This window comes from Homo sapiens, chromosome 3 (assembly GCF_000001405.40).
Source record: "Homo sapiens chromosome 3, GRCh38.p14 Primary Assembly".
NCBI classification, from domain to species: domain Eukaryota; kingdom Metazoa; phylum Chordata; class Mammalia; order Primates; family Hominidae; genus Homo; species Homo sapiens.
This window is the reverse complement of record NC_000003.12, coordinates 187,012,710-187,030,290: the sequence shown is the minus strand read 5'-3', so window position 1 is coordinate 187,030,290 and position 17,581 is coordinate 187,012,710. Positions and strand designations below refer to the sequence as shown.

The window sequence follows — 17,581 nt, the reverse complement described above, 5'->3', positions numbered from 1 at the left end:
ATCACATGCATCAATGCATGTCATCCTCACAGAGACCCTGTGCAGACAGCGCTACCTATGACCCCACTTACCTGGCTGCAGCCATCTTCTCCCCCACCCAAAATACCGTGCTTCGTTGCCTGAATATTTTAGCTCCAACACTGTTTCTATCATAACTCCTTGTGATATTAATATCCACTTTTAGGATATTCTAGTCCTCTGGCCTCACAGTCCTTTGATCTCCTCTACCCCAGTGATTGTGACCACGGCCACTCACTCCCAGAGTTGTATCTCTGATCTTGTTATTTCCCAACAATACCTTCCATAATCTTGAGTTCAGGCATCCCATCTCCAATTACCACTCCTGTCTATATGCAGCCTATTCCAACTAGTACCCCAACTCCAACAAGCTTCTGTGGTTAATCCTTCCACCTGTCACTGTTCCTCACTTTCCTCATATTCTTACTTCCCTTCCTACACAGCTTAAATTCCATGGTCAAAATCATTAAAATGAGTCCTTTGCCCTCTTTGATCACACATGATTGGCTAAAACTCAATCCTGGTTAAATCCAACCCTCTGTTCTGCTCCACACCAGCAAACATGCAACTGAGCATGGCTAGAGAAAATTGTACAACAATGCTTACTGATTTCACTTCAAGTTCGCGATCCCTAACTGCCAGGAGGTCCTTAATGCTTTTCAGAAATCACATGCTACTTGTCCAGTCTATTCATCTGGCACTCGCCCACTACTTGACTTCCTCCTTTCAATCTCCCTCTCCTGTGATGAATTTGCTACTTGTTCATGGAGAAAACAAAAGCTGCCAGATTAGAACTTCCTCAAACCCCCTAACAGAGCCCCCTTTATCTGCATTTATGTCCATATGCCTCATTACTATAGATGAACTGGCTATGTCCAACACTTGCAATAACCAACACTTGTCCACTAGATCCTACACATTATTGTTTACTTAAGAAAGTTGTTCTAGAAAACCTCACCCCTTTGTTTAATTGATAAGTATCCCTCTCTCAAAGATTACTCCCATCAACATATAGACACGCTGCTGCTCTTAAAAAGCAAAATCAAAACACCTCTCGTGAGTCAAGCAGCCGTGACCTGACCCTGATCAGTCTTTTAGCATCATTAACAGTGAGACATCTAGATAGTGTGTGCCTTCTGATGTGACGTGACATGAAGCACCTATGAAAAATTCTTTTTTTTTTTAGAGACAAGGTCTTGCTTTGTCACCCAGGCTGGAGTACACAGTGGCACAATCTCTGTTCACCGCAACCTCCACCTCCCAGGTTCAAGCGATTCTCCTGCCTCAGCCTCCCGAGTAGCTGGGATCACAGGCGTGCACCACCACGCCCTGCTAACCACCTATGAAAAATTCTTGCCCAAAATGTTTAATCTGTATATTATCAAGCTGTCATACACAATTCCAGTTTTTAGGAAATACAGAAGAAAGAAGAACAAGTCAAATAGCGCCAAAGGAAAATTATCAGACAAATCCAGAAGGTAGGACTTCCTATGGGACAACTGAACTGGTTTCATCAACAAGTAAATGGGAATAAAAAACAAATGGCTTCGCAGATATAATAATATGTAATACGTACACCTTGTCTGAATCTTGGTTTGATTCACCTTGGGGACAAATGGGGATATTGGAACATAGATTGGTTATTATATGGTATTAAGAAATTATTGTTAATTTTGTTAGGTGTATAAAAGTATTGTGGTTATATAAAGAAAAAGTCCTATGCATGTGAAGTAGTAAGAGATGAAATCTACTTTAAAAATCTACTTTAAAATACTCCAGCCAAAAAATAGATTCAGCAAATATGAAAATAATGCAATGTCATTTTTTGGATGTATTCAAATTAAGCTATGTAACAAGACTGATTTTCAAACTCCTTTCTTCTTAGACAGTGATATAGTTTGGGAGTGGGGAGAGTTTTAAAGAGCTTGAAGAAAAAAGTCACGATAGACAATTGTTTCTGTTTTACTCAAGGAATTAACTAAAAGATATATGACTTTAGAGAAGTCATATATTGAGCCACTTATTGCATGAGTTCTAAATAAACTCCACTTCCCTGCCCTGACCCTAAACCTCTTGACCTCATTTCTCTTCTTTAAAATGCCTTATTTCTCTTTCCTTTACAGTAAAACTCCTTGAAAGACAGTCCATAGTCTTGTTTGCAATAGCTATCTTCCCACTCTCACTTGAACCCACTCCAACCAGGCCTCCCCATCTCCATGAACCTGATCTTGTCAGAGTCACAAGGACCTCCACGATCTCCACATTGCTAACCAAATGGTCAATGTTCAGTCTTCATCTTATTCAGCTCATCAGCAGTCCATAACTTCCTCTTCCTTGATGCATATTCTTCACCTAGCTTCCAAAACCTATACTTCTCCTGGCTTTTCTCTGCCTTACCGGTAATGCCTTACTGGTCTCGTTGCTGGCTCCTTCTCTTCTGCCCCACTTTATGCACAGAAATGCCCTAGACCTGCCCTTTCTCTACCTATACTCACCCTCTACTGCTTGTGAGCATCTTGCGGTCAGCTCTCCACCTACCCAGCCCCCTGCAGTTTGAGCTCAATACCTGTTTGTTGAAGTGCACTGAGTCCGGAAAGTCGGTTCTGTCAGTGAGCTTCTACAGAAAGGAAGCCTTTGAAAATTTTTTTTGAGAAAAGAAGACGGGGCAAGAAGGGGGGCCGGAATAAAACACTGCACTCACTTCACTATTTACCCTCTTATCTGTTATCTGTAGAGAGGAGGCAACACTGAGGAGCACAGTGATTCTCAGACTTAGAGCACACCCAAATTATTAAAATCACTTGTTAAAATGCGGGTTCCTGAATTCTGTCTCAATCATTCTGATTCAAGTAGTCTGGGAGGTTGGGAGAATATTGGGGGGAAGTTGGAAATCTGCATTTAATAAGCACCCCAGGTAATTAATTCTCAGGCAAGTGGTGAGAAACAGGTCGCTGAGAACAGTGCTACTGAAAGTGAGATCTGCAGAGAAGTGCTAGGCTGAGAAAGCTTTTCAAGATGCAAGATGAGAAAAGTACAGAAATGGAGTGTAAGTGACTTTTACAGTAATTTTAAAGAGTAATTTTATGCCTGTTAGATCAATACTTTTTAAAATGGGGCTTGTATTTCAAATGTCCTTTTTCTCATTTCATGATTCTGGAATCCATGCTTTTTTATTTATTTGTTTATTTTATTTTTTATTTTTTATTTATTTATTTATTTTTTTGGAGACAGAGTCTCCCTCTGTCGCCCAGGCTGGAGTGCAGTGGTGAGATCTCGGCTCACTGCAAGCTCTGCCTCCAGGGTTCACTCCATTCTCCCGCCTCAGCCTCCCCAGTAGCTGGGACTACAGGTGCCCGCCACCATGCCTGGCTAATTTTGTTTTTGTGTTTTTAGTAGAGATGGGGTTTCACCGTGTTAGCCAGGATGGTCTCGATCTCCTGACCTCATGATCCACCCGCCTCGGCCTCCCAAAGTGCTGGGATTACAGGCGTGAGCCACCGCACCTGGCCCCATTTTTATTGTATTTTACGTAACTACTGATGTGAGAGGAATTGGGAAAAAAAATTTGGTTCTTCACCACCAATAGTTTGAGAAGCCTTGGCTTTGGAGAAACAGTTCACTCAGGCTCTAGTCTCAAAAAGCTAGATTGAAATCCTGGCTTTTGTACTGTAAGTTATCTTAGGCCAATTAGTCAGTTTCTGTGAACCTTGTGTCTTCATCTGCGAAGGATAACAATACTTAAAAGGTTGCCTCTGCAGGGCTGTGCTGACAATTTAATGATAGATTTTTATCACTTTATTTTAGCTAATAATTAATGAGCTTTTACTATGTGCTAAGTAATTTACAGGCAGTAAAGGTCCTGTAATTTGGTGAAGCTCATTTAATTCCTGCAGCAACAACAGTGCCCAAGGCGAGCACTGTTATCACCATGTGCTTCACAGAGTCCCCAGAGGAGCCTGCCCAGGCTGTCTGGCTCTACCACCCCAGCTCCTACCCACCGAGCTCTATCAAGCGGGAACCAACATGGGTCAAAACATTAATCATTTGTCAAAACATTTCTGACAAGTCACCGTTTTGCTCAAAAGCGCAGCAAAGGTCAGAAGCATGATATGCAACAAGAAACCGACTTGTAGCTGGTGAATCTGAGAAGACAGTGAAAGAAAGGAAGCCATGAGGGGCGCGCAGTGCCTGAGAGGCTGTGACTGTTGGCAAGTGTTTACCTGAGGACAGGCCCACCTGCATGGCTCATGGTGGGGAGGGGGAGATCCTGCCCAGAGCAAAGCCCTGAAGATAAAGGGCTTTCACTCCTGCCAAGGGTCTCTTACCAGAGATTACATCTTTTCCCAGCCAGGCAGCACTGATAATGAAGTCCTCAGAACATTTCCCTGAGTACATTTCCCCAGAGGTTTTCTAAGAGTCTGGAGAACAGAACTTTGTTGGGGGGTGTTGTGTCCCCACCATGAGGTCAGGCTGCGGTCCCTGACCAGAGCCAACCACTCGGAACTGATTAGGAGAGCTCTGAACTCCAGATTGACACAGCCATGGCAAAGGGAAATCATGAGCCATTTGCTACTGTCTTCACCCTTGCACCCCATGCACAGACAGACAGACTTGTATTCATAGAAATATCTGCCTTCCTATTTGACAGGTGCCTGGCAAAAAGTAGGCCTTTCGTGCCCCATGAATTCCCTTTCTGTATAATGCCCACTCCCCACTACACACCCCAGCCCCAGGAGGCATCTCCCACATGCTCACCACACAATTTGCACTCCGCTTGGTAAATCAGCATTAAGCAGAGGAGAGCGCAGGAAGGGCCTATATAGAGAGTGGAAAAAACACTTCACCCCTCCCCAGCAACACAGCTACCCACTCTTTCCTCCACATCCCTACACTACACCACACCCCTATGCTACAGAGAGCCAGACAAAGAAGAAAACGGGCCCGCCATCTCCTCAGAAAGAGGAACTGTCTCACCTCCTAATCTTTACTACACTGCTTCGATTTTTCTTGGAGTAATTTAAAGCAAACGCCAGACTTTGTATCAGTTTCCTGCTACCAGCTCTTCCCAACTGCGGATCCAACAAAAAATTAAGCCTTAATGTCCTAAGACCTCCATTGTATGCAACGCATCAACTAACTCCCATGGCATCGAGAATTACCTACGTACCACCCCTGGCAGAATCGTACCACCCCTGGGAGAATTGAGAACGTAGACCCTCAGATTCTCTACACTGTGAGACACACACACACAGACACACACACACACACACACACACACACACACGCACCAGGTTCTGCCAGAGAATATATGAATATAAATAATAATTCAATATGATCACAATGCCAATATCACCCAATATCCAACCCACCTTTAAATGTTTACCAATTCTCTCAATAATGTCTTTTACACTAACCTGCTCAAAAGGGGATCCAAACAAGGACAGGACATTTTGTTTGGATGACTGGATGATGTGCCATTTTCAATTCTCTCTTATCTAGAAGAGTTCCTCGCTCCCTTACTTCTTCTTTTCCACGGCATATATTTGTTGAAAAAATGAAGTCATTTCTCCTGTGGAGTGGCTTATGTTCTGAGCCTGGCTCACGGCTTCCTCAGGGTGTTGTTTAATGTTCTCCTCTCTGCTCTGTGTTTCCTTAAACTGAGTGTTAGATTTCAAGGCTTGTTGAGATTTGGTGGTTTCAAATTCAATGGTTCTCCCAGGCTTTTTTTGTTAAAATATATACACATATACTCTCTCTCTCTCTCTCTCTCTCTCTCTCTATATATATATATATATATACACATATATATGTGTATATATGTGTGTGTGTATATATATATAGAGTATATGTGTGTGTGTATATATATATATAAAACATTTAGGCTGGGCGCGGTGGCTCATGCCTGTAATCCCAGCACTTTGGGAGGCCGAGGCGGGCAGATCACGAGGTCAGGAGATCAAGACCATCTGGCTAACATGGTGAAACCCCCGTCTCTACTAAAAATACAAAAAATTAGCCAGGCGTGGAGGCATGCACCTGTAGTCCCAGCTACTCAGGAGGCTGAGGCAGGAGAATCACTTGAACCTGGAGGCGGAGATTGCAGTGAGCAGAGATCATGCCACTGTACTCCATCCTGGGTGACACAGCGAGACTTTGTCTCAAAAAACAAACAAACAAGCAAAACATGTATATATGTATATATATAAAACATATATATGTATATATATACCCAAAAGGATCTAAGTCCTGGTAGTCTAAGGGAGTTGGAGGTGAGGAAATGAATAGGGAAGGTTGAGTTCTTCTACTTTGTGGTGGCCCCGGGGCCTGTAAGAAAACTTACACCAATACTCATGCGATAGGTTCATTCTTTTTTTTTTTTTTAATTATTATTATACTTTAAGTTTTAGGGTACATGTGCACAACGTGCAGGTTTGTTACATATGTATACATGTGCCATGTTGGTGTGCTGCACCCATTAACTCATCATTTAGCATTAGGTATATCTCCTAATGCTATCCCTCCCCGTTCCCCCCACCCCACAACAGTCCCGGTGTGTGATGTTCCCCTTCCTGTGTCCATGTGTTCTCACTGTTCAATTCCCACCTATGAGTGAGAACATGTGGTGTTTGGCTTTTTGTCCTTGCCATAGTTTGCTGAGAATGATAGTTTCCAGCTTCATCCATGTCCCTACAAAGGACGTGAACTCATCATTTTTCATGGCTGCATAGTATTCCATGGTGTATATGTGCACATTTTCCTAATCCAGTCTATCATTGTTGGACATTTGGGTTGGTTCCAAGCTATAGGTTCATTCTTTCAGCAAATGCTGATTGCCTACTGTGAACCAGACTGCAGACACAGCAGTAGAGAAGCCAGCCAGAAATCCCTAACCCCTCCAGCACTCACCTTATAGTGAGGATAAATAAAGAGTCAAACAACATAAATCCGTGGTGCTTTGCAAGGAGATAACTGATATGCAGACAATTAGAGTAGGGAAGAGAAATAGGGACAGCTTGGAGTGGGTGAGGTGGAGATTTAAATCAGATGATCAGAGAAAGCCTCACTGAGAAGAAGACATTTGAGCAAGGGTTGGAAGGAGGTGTAAACCAAAAATAAAATCCTAAGCCCCCCACTAACCAACTGAATGGACTCCTTTTTGGCCATGGGCACCCCAGAGAAACCTGAAAAACTGAATTCCCAGCCATGACAGAAAGGAGGTTACACCCTCATCATACCCCTCCCTTTTGGGGTTTAGGTACAAGTGACCAGCATTAAGGTAAAATAGAGATTATAAGACTGACCAAACAGACCCTTTATGACAATAAGATACCAAACTATACACAATACCTAAGGCCATAAAAGGCAAAGATTAAGTCATACCCTAGAAACAATACAGTCTCATTAAATGGGTTTTTTAATTAACCCAGTAAAATGTGGCTTACTCTCCAACCTGACTCTGGTATAGTATCACATGACAGACAGCAGACTCTGAAGGAAATTAAAATATTTTGCCCCAAAATACATTTCTTTGACATATTTGGAAAAGGCTGCCAGACAGCCTTTGGACTGCAAAGCCATCTTTGGTGGGGGAAACGTGCATCTCCAGAGAATCGATATTAATGTCTCTTCCCTTGCTAGGCCTTTCCCAGATCTAGGAGAGATTCTAACTGAGAGTCAGACACCCAAAGGTCTGAGAAGAGACAATCACTATCTATTCACCCAGAGGGCTGCTATCTATGAGGCTCCAAGGACCTAGGCCCCCACAACCTCCTTATCTTACTCAGGCATTCCTTCCTACTGACTTCAAGTCACTAGACAATAACTTGACTCTCTCAGCTACTGTTAGCTAAAGAATCCCTAAAACGCACTTAAGACTTGTAAGGCCCCTCAGCCCTCCCCTAACCCTCTACCCCCCAAGTCCCTGTGTAGGGAAAACTCTCTGTAGCCATCTTTCCTCTGCTCTCACACCACAACAATCAACACAGAAGATGACTTATGTGACCATATGTGTGGGGGTCCCACCCCAACACCAAGCAGCGACACCAGCTTGGTGTCCTCTAATTCAGTTCCAACACTATCTACCTGGAAATAGTGTCAGATCCTACAGATTGAGGGCTTAGTGTCCAAGACATCCCCCCTCCACCAGTCACAAGTCCAGGCCTCCAGAACTTCTTTCTGACCAACCAGCTTCCATTGGGGTTCCCCTCTCCGTGGGTTCAATTAATTTGCTGGAGCGGCTCACAGAACTCAGGGAAACACCCTACTTACATTTACTGGTTTATCATCAAGGATGCTGCAGAGGATACAGATGAAGAGATGTGTAGAGCAAGGTATGGGAGAAGGGATGCAGAGCTTCCACGCCCTCCCTGGTTGTGCCGCCCTACAGGAACCTCCTCCTATTAAGCTATCAGAAAGTTCACCCAACCCTGTCCTCTTGGGTTTTTATAGAAGCTTCCTTGACGTCAGCATTTCTTCCCCCAGGGCATAGGGTAGGAACCTCTCATGGGAAGGTTTTTTTTTTTTTTTTTTTTTGAGACAGAGTCTCGCTCTGTCGCCCAGGTTGGAGTGCAGTAGCATGATCTTGATTCACTGCAACCTCTGCCTCCCGGGTTCAAGCAATTCTTCCTGCCTCAGCCTCCCGAGTAGCTGGGATTACAGGCGCCCACCATCACACCCGGCTAATTTTTCTATTTTTAGTAGAGACGGGGTTTCACCATGTTGGTCAGGCTGGTCTCGAACTCCTGACTTCAGGTGATCCACCCACCTCGGCCTCCCAAAGTGCTGGGATTACAGGCATGAACCACTATGCCTGGCCTCATGGGAGGGTTGTAAGGCCCACAGTCAGGCCAGAAAACATAAAAACCTTGCCTTGGGGCAGGTGAAAGGACGGCAGGAGAGAGACTGTTTCTTAGGGCCTGTCCCTGAAGTCTAAAAAGCCCAGCATTCTAGCAAGACTGTAGCAAGGGCTATGGGGCTATGCGCCAGGAAACATGCATGGAAACCAACACATAGTCCAGGCATGATGGCTCACGCCTGTATTCCCAGCACTTTGGGAGGCCAAGGCAGGTGGATCACGAGGTCAGGAGATCGAGACCATCCTGGCCAACATGGTGAAATCCCATCTCTACTAAAAATACAAAAATTAGCCGGGCGTGGTGGCATGCTCCTGTAATCCCAGCTACTCAGGAGGCTGAGGCAGGAGAATCACTTGAACCCAGGAGGCAGAGGCTCAGTGGGCAGAGATCACGCCATTGCACTCCAGCCTGGGTGACAGAGCGAGACTCCATCTCAAAAAAAAACAAAAAAAAAAACCACCAATACATATATCCTAACACCGCACCCTCCCCCACTTTGAGATGTCTCACATTTTTTGGACAGAACTACCAGTTACCTTCCATGTACTGATTTCCAGATATCCTTGCCTGTAATGCCTGTCTCCCTAAAATGTATAAAACCAGACTATGGCCCAACTGCCTCAGGGCCACTCACTCAAGGCTTCTTGGGTTTGTGTTTTCTCTAAGCTACAGTAACTCATATTGCCTCAGGATAAACTTCTTGAAAATATTTTACAGAATTTGGTTTTTCTGTTAACAGAGATGAAGGAGGCTACCATGCAGATTTCTGAGAAAAGAGGGTTGCAAGTAGAGGGAACAGCAAAATACCTACACAGGGGCAGCCAGATAATGTGGCGCCTTACACAGGTGTAGGGGTTTTGGCTTTCATCTGATTAAGACTTTGCCGATGTATGTTTCAAAGGCATCACCGGATGCTGCCTTAAGAATCAACTGTAATGAACAGCAGGTCTTATAGATGTTACCAAATTTAATTCTTACCACCACCCTGTGGGGTGGGGTATTAACAATCCTCTTTTTTAAATAAAGAAATTGAAACTCAGAGAGTTTAAGTCATTTGCTCAAGATGTCACTGTAAATGGTGAAACCACGGTGTGTTTTGTTTTTTGTTTGTTTGTTTGTTTTTGAGACAGAGTCTCGCTCTGTTACCAGGCTGGAGTGAAGCAGTGCAATCTCGGCTCACTGCAACCTCCACCTCCCAGGTTCAAGCAATTCTCTGCCTCAGCCTCCCGAGTAGCTGGGATTACAGGCACCCGCCACCACGCCCGGCTAATTTTTGTATTTTTAGTAGAGACGTGGTTTCACCATCTTGGCCAGGCTGGTCTTGAATTCCTGACCTCGTGATCCACCCGCCTCAGCCTGTCAAAGTGCTGGGATTACAGGCATAAGCCACCATGCCCGGCTGACCAGATTATTCTAACCAACAAACTGGTAGTGCTCTTCATCCTATGTCCCTCTACTCAGGCCCTTCCAAGGGCTACTGCGAGCCTCTCTGCTTTATCACACCAACTACAGTTGCTAATCACTGTATTGACCTTCTGGTGACACCTATTTACTCTGCCCTGATCTTCATCTCCTTAATCTTTAGTGCACAAACCTCACCCTCATCTGGACCTTAGAACCCAAACTTTCTGTTCTTAGACTTAGAGTGCTTGACACCCTGTTGCCCCCAGAGGGTGGCATAGTGCCTCCGAGAGGGGCTCCATGTGTCCTGGCTGCCAGAAACCCTCTCCCATGAAGGACTCCCATTTCTCTAAGAGCTTGGATTCTTAATGTGTGCCACCTGAGCTGCCACTTAATGCTGACCCTTCTTTCTCTTTCCTCATATCAGGGATAGCTGGCTGCCCCACAAGAAGTTTGCTCCTTCTGCCATATAGTTATTGCTGTAAATTACTGTCCAGAGAGGGATTGCATTTTACACACACACAAACACACACAGCATATAGATGGGATCATTTTACTAGTTATTGGCAAAGAAATGTGAGCAAAAATAACATACATCACTTCTGGGCCAAGATGGTTAAGACGTGAGTTTATTTGCTCTAGCAGCTAGCATTACCCTATAGAGCTACTCAATAGAGACTTCCTGAATATTTATTTCTATGGTTTAAAACCATCAACAGAATATTCAGCTATAGATTTTTCATATCTCCTCATCCCAACATTTCACAATCCCAGTGAAACAACAGAAGCACACCCTAATTTAATCAAAGCCAAGAGGTCCTAAATTCTTTCACATCAAATCATATCTCTTGTATTTTGTTTCCCCCGACACGATTCCAAGATTTTGAAAGATGTTGTCGACTAACTTTAATTTAAAATTTGAGTTATTTGTTATCAAATGAACAAAGATACTGTTGCCAATCAGAGGTTCTGAATGGCATGAGATTGCCACGACTACCACAGTCAGTTGATAAAAGTTTAGCATAAAACAAAGAAACTTGATTTTCTTGGCTGCGCAGGTTTGCCGTGGTGAACGTGCTTCTCCCATCTGGCTTTTCGAGATACTCAAGTGTCTGGTGGATCTCTGGAGGCCCTGGACAAGGGACTCTGGTTTGTGGAGCTTACTCCAATAATCGTAACTTTGTGATTACAGCCATAGACACAATTCTTGCTTAGCATGCCCCTGTGATGGCTAATACGGAGTGTCAACTTGATTGGATTGAAGGATGCAAAGTATTGATCCTGGGCGTGTCTGTGAGGGTGTTGCCAAAGGAGATTAACATTTGAGTCAGTGGGCTGGGGAAGGCAGACCCACCCTTAATCTGGGTGGGCACCATCTAATCTGCTGCCATTGTAGCCAGAATAAAAAGCAGGCAGAAGAATGTGAATAGACTAGACTTCCTTAGCCTTCCAGCCTACATCTTTCTCCTGTGCTGGATGCTTCCTGCCCTCGAACATCAGACTCCAAGTTCTTCAGCTGTGGGACTCGGACTGGCTTTCCTGCTCCTCAACCTGCAGATGGACTATGTGGGACCTCACATAGTTCCATGACCGTGTGAGTCAATACTCCTTAATAAACTCCCCTTTATAAATACATCTATCCTATTAGTTTTGTCCCTCTAGAGAACCCTGGCTAATTCACCTCCCAAAAATCAGGTTCTACTGGTTGGCTAGACACAGAAGGGTGCTTAGAAAAACCACCCCCAACAGCCCCTAACTAGGCAAAATTAAGGCACTCTATGTTTCTCCAGAAGAATCTGGTTTCATGTGTTTAGAAATCAGGAAAAAAACAATGTAAAATTACGATTTTTCTGGAGTATCAGATCAAACAGATACCAGCCTGCCTCTCCATCTCAGCACTCACCAGGCAAAGGCAGAGTAGCAGTTATGTTGGAAACCTGCCTCCCCCGGGACACAGCAGCAGAGCTGTCAAAGATGGGCAAGGAATCAGGCTGCCCGGAATTCTCACATGCTAAGTTGCAAAGGAGAACCAAATGGCAACAAAACAGGAACGATTTCTACTGAAATACCGAAGATAAGGATTTCCTCTGAAATCCTACTAACGTGGGTCTGATTATTCAAACTCCACTTTAACTCTGTCTTTAGTGAGGACAATGTCTACTAATGTCTTCTTAAATATCATGTCCTCCAGGAATTCCAGGGCTGGGGATCGCGCCAGGCGGCCGTTCTTTCCAACCATGTCCGTCGTGGTTTTCGTGTTATCAATCTGGGCAGGAGGAAGTCTGAGCCAGTGTTCCTTGACATTTTCTAATTGCCAGAATCACTGAAGTGCAACTACCTCTCCTTAAAGTCACCAAGGCAACAACTGTTTACCTCGCTCGTCTTAACAAACTGACGTCATTGCTAGAACCCGTCCAAGGCCAAATGGACCCCCTACAAAGAAAAAGGGGAAGGGAACATGGAGGAGAAAAAGGTTGTTCAAGTCTGTCCTGAGAGCTTCAAGGCCCTTGGTGTAACCCTCCCCTGCCCTCCCACCCCTAATCTCACAGCCATGAAGGTGAGTGGTGTAGGTGAAGGGAACCACTTAGAACATTGTTGCTCTATCTTACCTGGGCATTAATATCACCTAGGAAGCATTTTTAAAATATAGATGCCTGATATTACCCTCAGTAGCTTCTGATGTAATGGATCCAGACCAATAAACATCAGAATAGTTTGGAAGAATGTAAAAGTTCACAGAGGGTTTCCTTGGGCAGAATGGGAGAGGCCAGGCCTTTCCTGGGAAGGGAAGGGCAACACCAGTTCAGCCTAGGGTAGACATAGTTAATGAGTCAACACACGGCTCAAGCATTTAAAGTCCCCAGTTAACCCAGCCTCCTCCACAACCTAGGAAGTCTGTTGCCCAATAACAGCTCAGAGTTACTGAGGAAATGGCAGGGCCACAGCTTCAATCCAGGGCCCCAGGAATTTCAGGCTACACTGTCATCAACTCTGTCCTCCTGGACTCAAAGGGGATCGCCTGTTATGAAGAATTCACATTGATTAGTAGGCCAAAGTGAGTCAGTACTGCTGGAGAAAGAGCTAATCACCCTTGCATTGAGGTGGGCCTTTCACTTCTGTCTCCTCCCCACGTGGTGATCTTGTCTTGTCTTTGGTCACCAAATGAAGAGGCAGCAACACGGCTGCAGCTCAATCTCTTGGGCAAAGGGGCTGCTACCCTCTGAGCAATCCCAGGCCAAGGCCAGAACTCAACTTCTGCTCTTGGCCCACATCATTGCCTCCTGGGAGGCAGGGGCTGGTTCTCTGGGGGTTTTCACATTTGCTTCCTCCTTACCACACCTGAAGAACATTTTATATCTGCACTTTCTGGGTGCTTAATGGAGCATGTTGACCAACGTTTGGACATTTTTCTTTGGGGGACAGATCCACAGAAGTCATCACTCAATGGTTCATCTCAACCTCGAACTGCCTCCCGCATTACTCTTTCCCTTCACTTTAGGTCCCCAAAGGCAGCCCCAGATCCAGCCCATGTCCCTGGAGGAAGCTTCTCAGATCCTGCAGTGAGGAGTCCTCCACCAGTGTCGACTTCCACTCACACTCCTGACATGCACACACACTCTCCTGCACTCCCGCACTCTTCTCCAGGTGCTGCGTGTGGGAAACTTATTTTTCCAGTCAGAAAAATAAGATTATATCCCTTCTCTGTCTCCTTTTTAGCACTGCCAAGCACAGGATAGGCAAGTGGCGCTTGATGAATAGAATGTCTGGCTGGCATCCACCGCGGGGGCTTGTGGTGTGTGTTGGGGTGGAAGATGGTTATTTTGTAAACAAGAAAATGGTTTTAGACAGGAACTGAAATCATCAACAAGCATGAAGCACCTGCTGGGTCTGCGGCTCTGTACAGAAAGAAAGGAAGGATGAAAAGTGACTGTGATTGCCTCCTAGGGGGTTCCCACGTGCCAGGCACTGTGCCAGGTCTGGACATCCGACAGCTCATTCAATCTCACCACAGTCCTCCAAAGCCGGTACCGTGTTATCCTTTCCATCTCACAGATAAGAAACCTGAATCTCAAAGAAGTTAAAGGACTTCTGCTAGTAAATGGCAGGGCCAAGGTTTGAACCCAGAACTGTCTGAATCCAAGACTGTACTCTTTTATTTATTTTTATTTTTTTTTCCTGAGACAAGTTGTCACTGTGTCACCCAGGCTGGAATGCAGTGGCTCAATCACAGCTCACTGCAGCCTCGACCTCCCAGCCTCCACCAATCCTCCCACCTCAGCCTCCCAAGTAGCTGGGACTCCAGGCACACACCACGACACCCATCTAATTTTTGTAATTTTTTGTAGAAACAGGTTTCATCACATTGCCCAGGCTGGTCTTGAACCCCCTGGGCTCAACCAGTCCACCCACCTCGGCCTCCCAAAGTGCTGGGATTACAGGCGTGAGCTGCTGCACCCAGGAAAGACTGCACTCTTAATGCCTGTACTAAGATGATCATCTTGTTTGACCTGTGACTCTTTCAGCCAAAGCCATGCCCACCTAACCCTGGAATTTCAGTGATTTTCAGTGAATGTGCAAGGTCCCAAGCCCAGAGCACACTTAGGATGCTGGACACTTAGCATTTTATCTCATTGAATCCTCCAGCAGCCCTGGATCATTGCTAATATTATAGTTGACCCTTGGTATTTACAGAATCAACATTTGGGATTTTTACTTTTGAGAATAACTCCGAAGGTCCTAGACATGAAACAGCCTAAGTCTGCTAAGGAGTAATTATGAAGTGCGTGCAGTAAGAAGCACACAGGGGCCAGTCCCTTCGTACGCAAGAGAGTTCACACTCAGGCTGGAACCCAGTGTGCAGGGGATGCTGTACCCTCCATGTATTAGGAAGTGACAGAAATACCTGTTGGCTTGTGAATTATGGCTCCCAGAGAAACAAAATTGCTAGTCCATGTTAGGGAGAATTTACACTCAGTGATGAATTTCCTTTAACAAATTTAGAAATCCCTACTGCCTTTTATTCGTGGAATCAATAAGGAAGAAATCACTTAGATTTTCAGGTGTGCTTGATTGTATTTACGGTGTAAGGGGGAATTATGTGCTCTGGTGGCATGTGTGTGATTTTGTCATGTGTCAAGCAAGAACAAAATGCCTCCTCTTAGGCTACTGTACACAATAAATGAGATCCTGGCAACAATGACCATAAGGATGTTGATTTGAGAATTGGCAAAGATCTCAGGAAAAGTCACTCGAGAACATCAACATTTTGACACACTGTGTTAACATTTTATAGATGAAGGAACCGCAAATGGGAGAGGCCAGATGTCTTGCCCAGGAATGTATTGCAATCATGCCAGTGCCCTTCCCTCCCCACAACCCATAAGCAAGTCCTCAAAACAGTCCCAACTCCTGCATGCTGACCAAGCACAGAATGTGGACTTAGGAGGATGGAGATGTAAGAAGCAGGCCCAAAGAAGGAACAGAGCTGCCCCTGGGCTGCCTGCCCTCCCCACACCTCACCCCAGTGCTGGCCTGGGAAAGGCAGAGCTGTGAAGTTGCCTGTTTTGACCACATCCATCCAGGTCAATCAATTCAATCAAGAGGCTGGTAACTGGGAGCTCAAAACGGTGGGCCCAGAAAAAACTAAAGGGGACCAAAGACCAAGACTGAGAAGGCAAAAGACCCTCAGACAAGGCTCAGTTTGGAGGAATGGTGCTGAATTTCATTTGCACCAAGACTTGGAGTCAGACAAATCTAGATTTGGATCCCGGCTTTATTATTAATCAGCATGCAATTTTAGGCAAATTACATGACAGTCGGGGTCTCAGTTTCCTCATCTGTAAAATGTGTGCAAAAGCACCTACTTCACAGGACTGCAGTGAGGGTTAGAAGTAAGGATTGTGCAGTGCCTGGCACATGCCAGGTGCTTAATAAATGAGAGCTGGCAAACCTGTACCTGCCAGGAAGCAGGGGAGGAGGGTCAGAAGGCTGAGGCCCGGCTTGACCGCTGTTGGGTGTGAAAAGTCTTCATTTTCAAGGATGAGATGAAATTTTCCGGAGTGTCATGAATCAGTATTTATCTTTGGCTAAACACGAGACCTTGATGTTCATCTCAACAAAACCAGTATTTGCGGCCGGGTGCGGTGGCTCATGCCTGTAATCCCAGCACGTTGGGAGGCCAAGGTGGGAGGATCACCTGAGGTCGGGAGTCAGAGACCAGCCTGGCCAACATGGTCAAACCCCGTCTCTACTAAAAATACAAAAATTAGTCAGGCGTGGTGGCGCACATCTGTAATCCCAGCTACTCAGGAGGCTGAGGCACGAGAATAGCTTGAACCCAGGAGGTGGAAGTCGCAGTGAGCTGAGATTGCATCACTGCACTCCAGCCTGGGTGACAGAGGGTGACCCTGTCTCAAAAACAAAAACAAAACAAAACAATAGTTGCCACTTTTAGTGTTAGCTATTTCAAACACTGCTCCACAGCAAAGAGAATAGGAACGTGGGACCCTCGTGGGAGGCAGGGTCAAGGGTGTGTCACTGTGAAGACTGAACTAATAGAAAAAGCCTGAAACCAGGGCACAGATGTGAGGTCCTCCAGCTCTCCAACCAAATCACTGTGTGTCCTCAGAAAAGTCACTTATCTTCTCTGAGTCTCTGTTTCCTCATGTGAAAAAAGGGCTTAATAGTCCCTATTTCACAGAGTTATGGGAAAGCACAGGGGAAGTAATAGATGGGAGAAGGCTTTAAACTGTGCAGAGGAAATGTTTGTTATTTTAAGTCTCTCCAGACAGTGCTGTTATTTCATCACTTCTATAGAGCCATAAGAAATAAGGCTTACAGATTAAGTCAGCTCCCATTTTAAAGAGGAAAAAGAAACAGTGTTCAAGAAACACTTAAGACGCTAAAGGTCTCCTCCATTATGAATTGAAGTCTTCGTGACTGGTACAGAATCATTTTTGTGTGATCATCAAGATGAAAACACAACATTGTTAAATTCTCCCTGAGCCCTTCCACCTCACCCCTGCCAGCCCTCTGCAGCCCCTGCCTGGTGGAGAAGATTTGCTTTCATTTCCACAGAGCAGGTGCTCACGGCCTGACATAGGAAACGCTGGTAGACCCGACGACTCACAGTGAAGCCTGCTGACTTCCCTGGATTTCCCCTCCATTTGGAAAACAGGCCAAACTCACCGCACCTCCCACCCTCATGCTTAGACCTCTTGCACTGAATGTGCTCAGGGGAAGAAAACAGGAAATCACTGAGATGGTCCCAGAGAGAAATCACAGGCAGGCTGGCAGCCCTACGGCCT

At 45.2% G+C, this 17,581-nt stretch overlaps 1 protein-coding gene across 3 annotated transcripts in view, besides 10 other annotated features; it reads right to left on the bottom strand.

Annotated features, from left to right (window-relative positions):
- Positions 1 to 17,581, bottom strand: part of ST6GAL1 (ST6 beta-galactoside alpha-2,6-sialyltransferase 1) — a 148,028-nt gene that overhangs the window by 48,263 nt on the left and 82,184 nt on the right. The window contains exon 1 of one of the 3 annotated variants that reach the window (NM_003032.3): positions 8,287 to 8,436. The exons of the other annotated variants lie outside the window; for them this stretch is intronic. The gene's annotated coding sequence lies outside the window, so the exon portion shown is untranslated. Of the gene's footprint in view, positions 1 to 8,286; positions 8,437 to 17,581 lie in introns of those variants that run through there. 3 annotated transcript variants of the gene reach the window in all.
- Positions 4,101 to 4,430: an enhancer, noted in NCBI's record as "active region_20959". NCBI's record gives its function as "activates an Ori minimal core promoter by ATAC-STARR-seq in GM12878 lymphoblastoid cells {active_cell/tissue: GM12878}" and the evidence as "EXISTENCE:reporter gene assay evidence [ECO:0000049][PMID:35858748]".
- Positions 5,984 to 6,073: a silencer, noted in NCBI's record as "silent region_14992". NCBI's record gives its function as "represses an Ori minimal core promoter by ATAC-STARR-seq in GM12878 lymphoblastoid cells {active_cell/tissue: GM12878}" and the evidence as "EXISTENCE:reporter gene assay evidence [ECO:0000049][PMID:35858748]".
- Positions 8,040 to 8,309: an enhancer, noted in NCBI's record as "active region_20958". NCBI's record gives its function as "activates an Ori minimal core promoter by ATAC-STARR-seq in GM12878 lymphoblastoid cells {active_cell/tissue: GM12878}" and the evidence as "EXISTENCE:reporter gene assay evidence [ECO:0000049][PMID:35858748]".
- Positions 8,312 to 8,405: a transcriptional cis regulatory region, noted in NCBI's record as "+32 to +125". NCBI's record gives its function as "contributes to promoter activity" and the evidence as "EXISTENCE:reporter gene assay evidence [ECO:0000049][PMID:10460832]".
- Positions 8,312 to 8,889: a promoter, noted in NCBI's record as "P2(-453); -453 to +125". NCBI's record gives the evidence for it as "EXISTENCE:reporter gene assay evidence [ECO:0000049][PMID:10460832]".
- Positions 8,324 to 8,487: a mobile genetic element.
- Positions 8,550 to 8,833: a mobile genetic element.
- Positions 14,249 to 14,378: an enhancer, noted in NCBI's record as "active region_20957". NCBI's record gives its function as "activates an Ori minimal core promoter by ATAC-STARR-seq in GM12878 lymphoblastoid cells {active_cell/tissue: GM12878}" and the evidence as "EXISTENCE:reporter gene assay evidence [ECO:0000049][PMID:35858748]".
- Positions 14,409 to 14,458: an enhancer, noted in NCBI's record as "active region_20956". NCBI's record gives its function as "activates an Ori minimal core promoter by ATAC-STARR-seq in GM12878 lymphoblastoid cells {active_cell/tissue: GM12878}" and the evidence as "EXISTENCE:reporter gene assay evidence [ECO:0000049][PMID:35858748]".
- Positions 17,430 to 17,549: an enhancer, noted in NCBI's record as "active region_20955". NCBI's record gives its function as "activates an Ori minimal core promoter by ATAC-STARR-seq in GM12878 lymphoblastoid cells {active_cell/tissue: GM12878}" and the evidence as "EXISTENCE:reporter gene assay evidence [ECO:0000049][PMID:35858748]".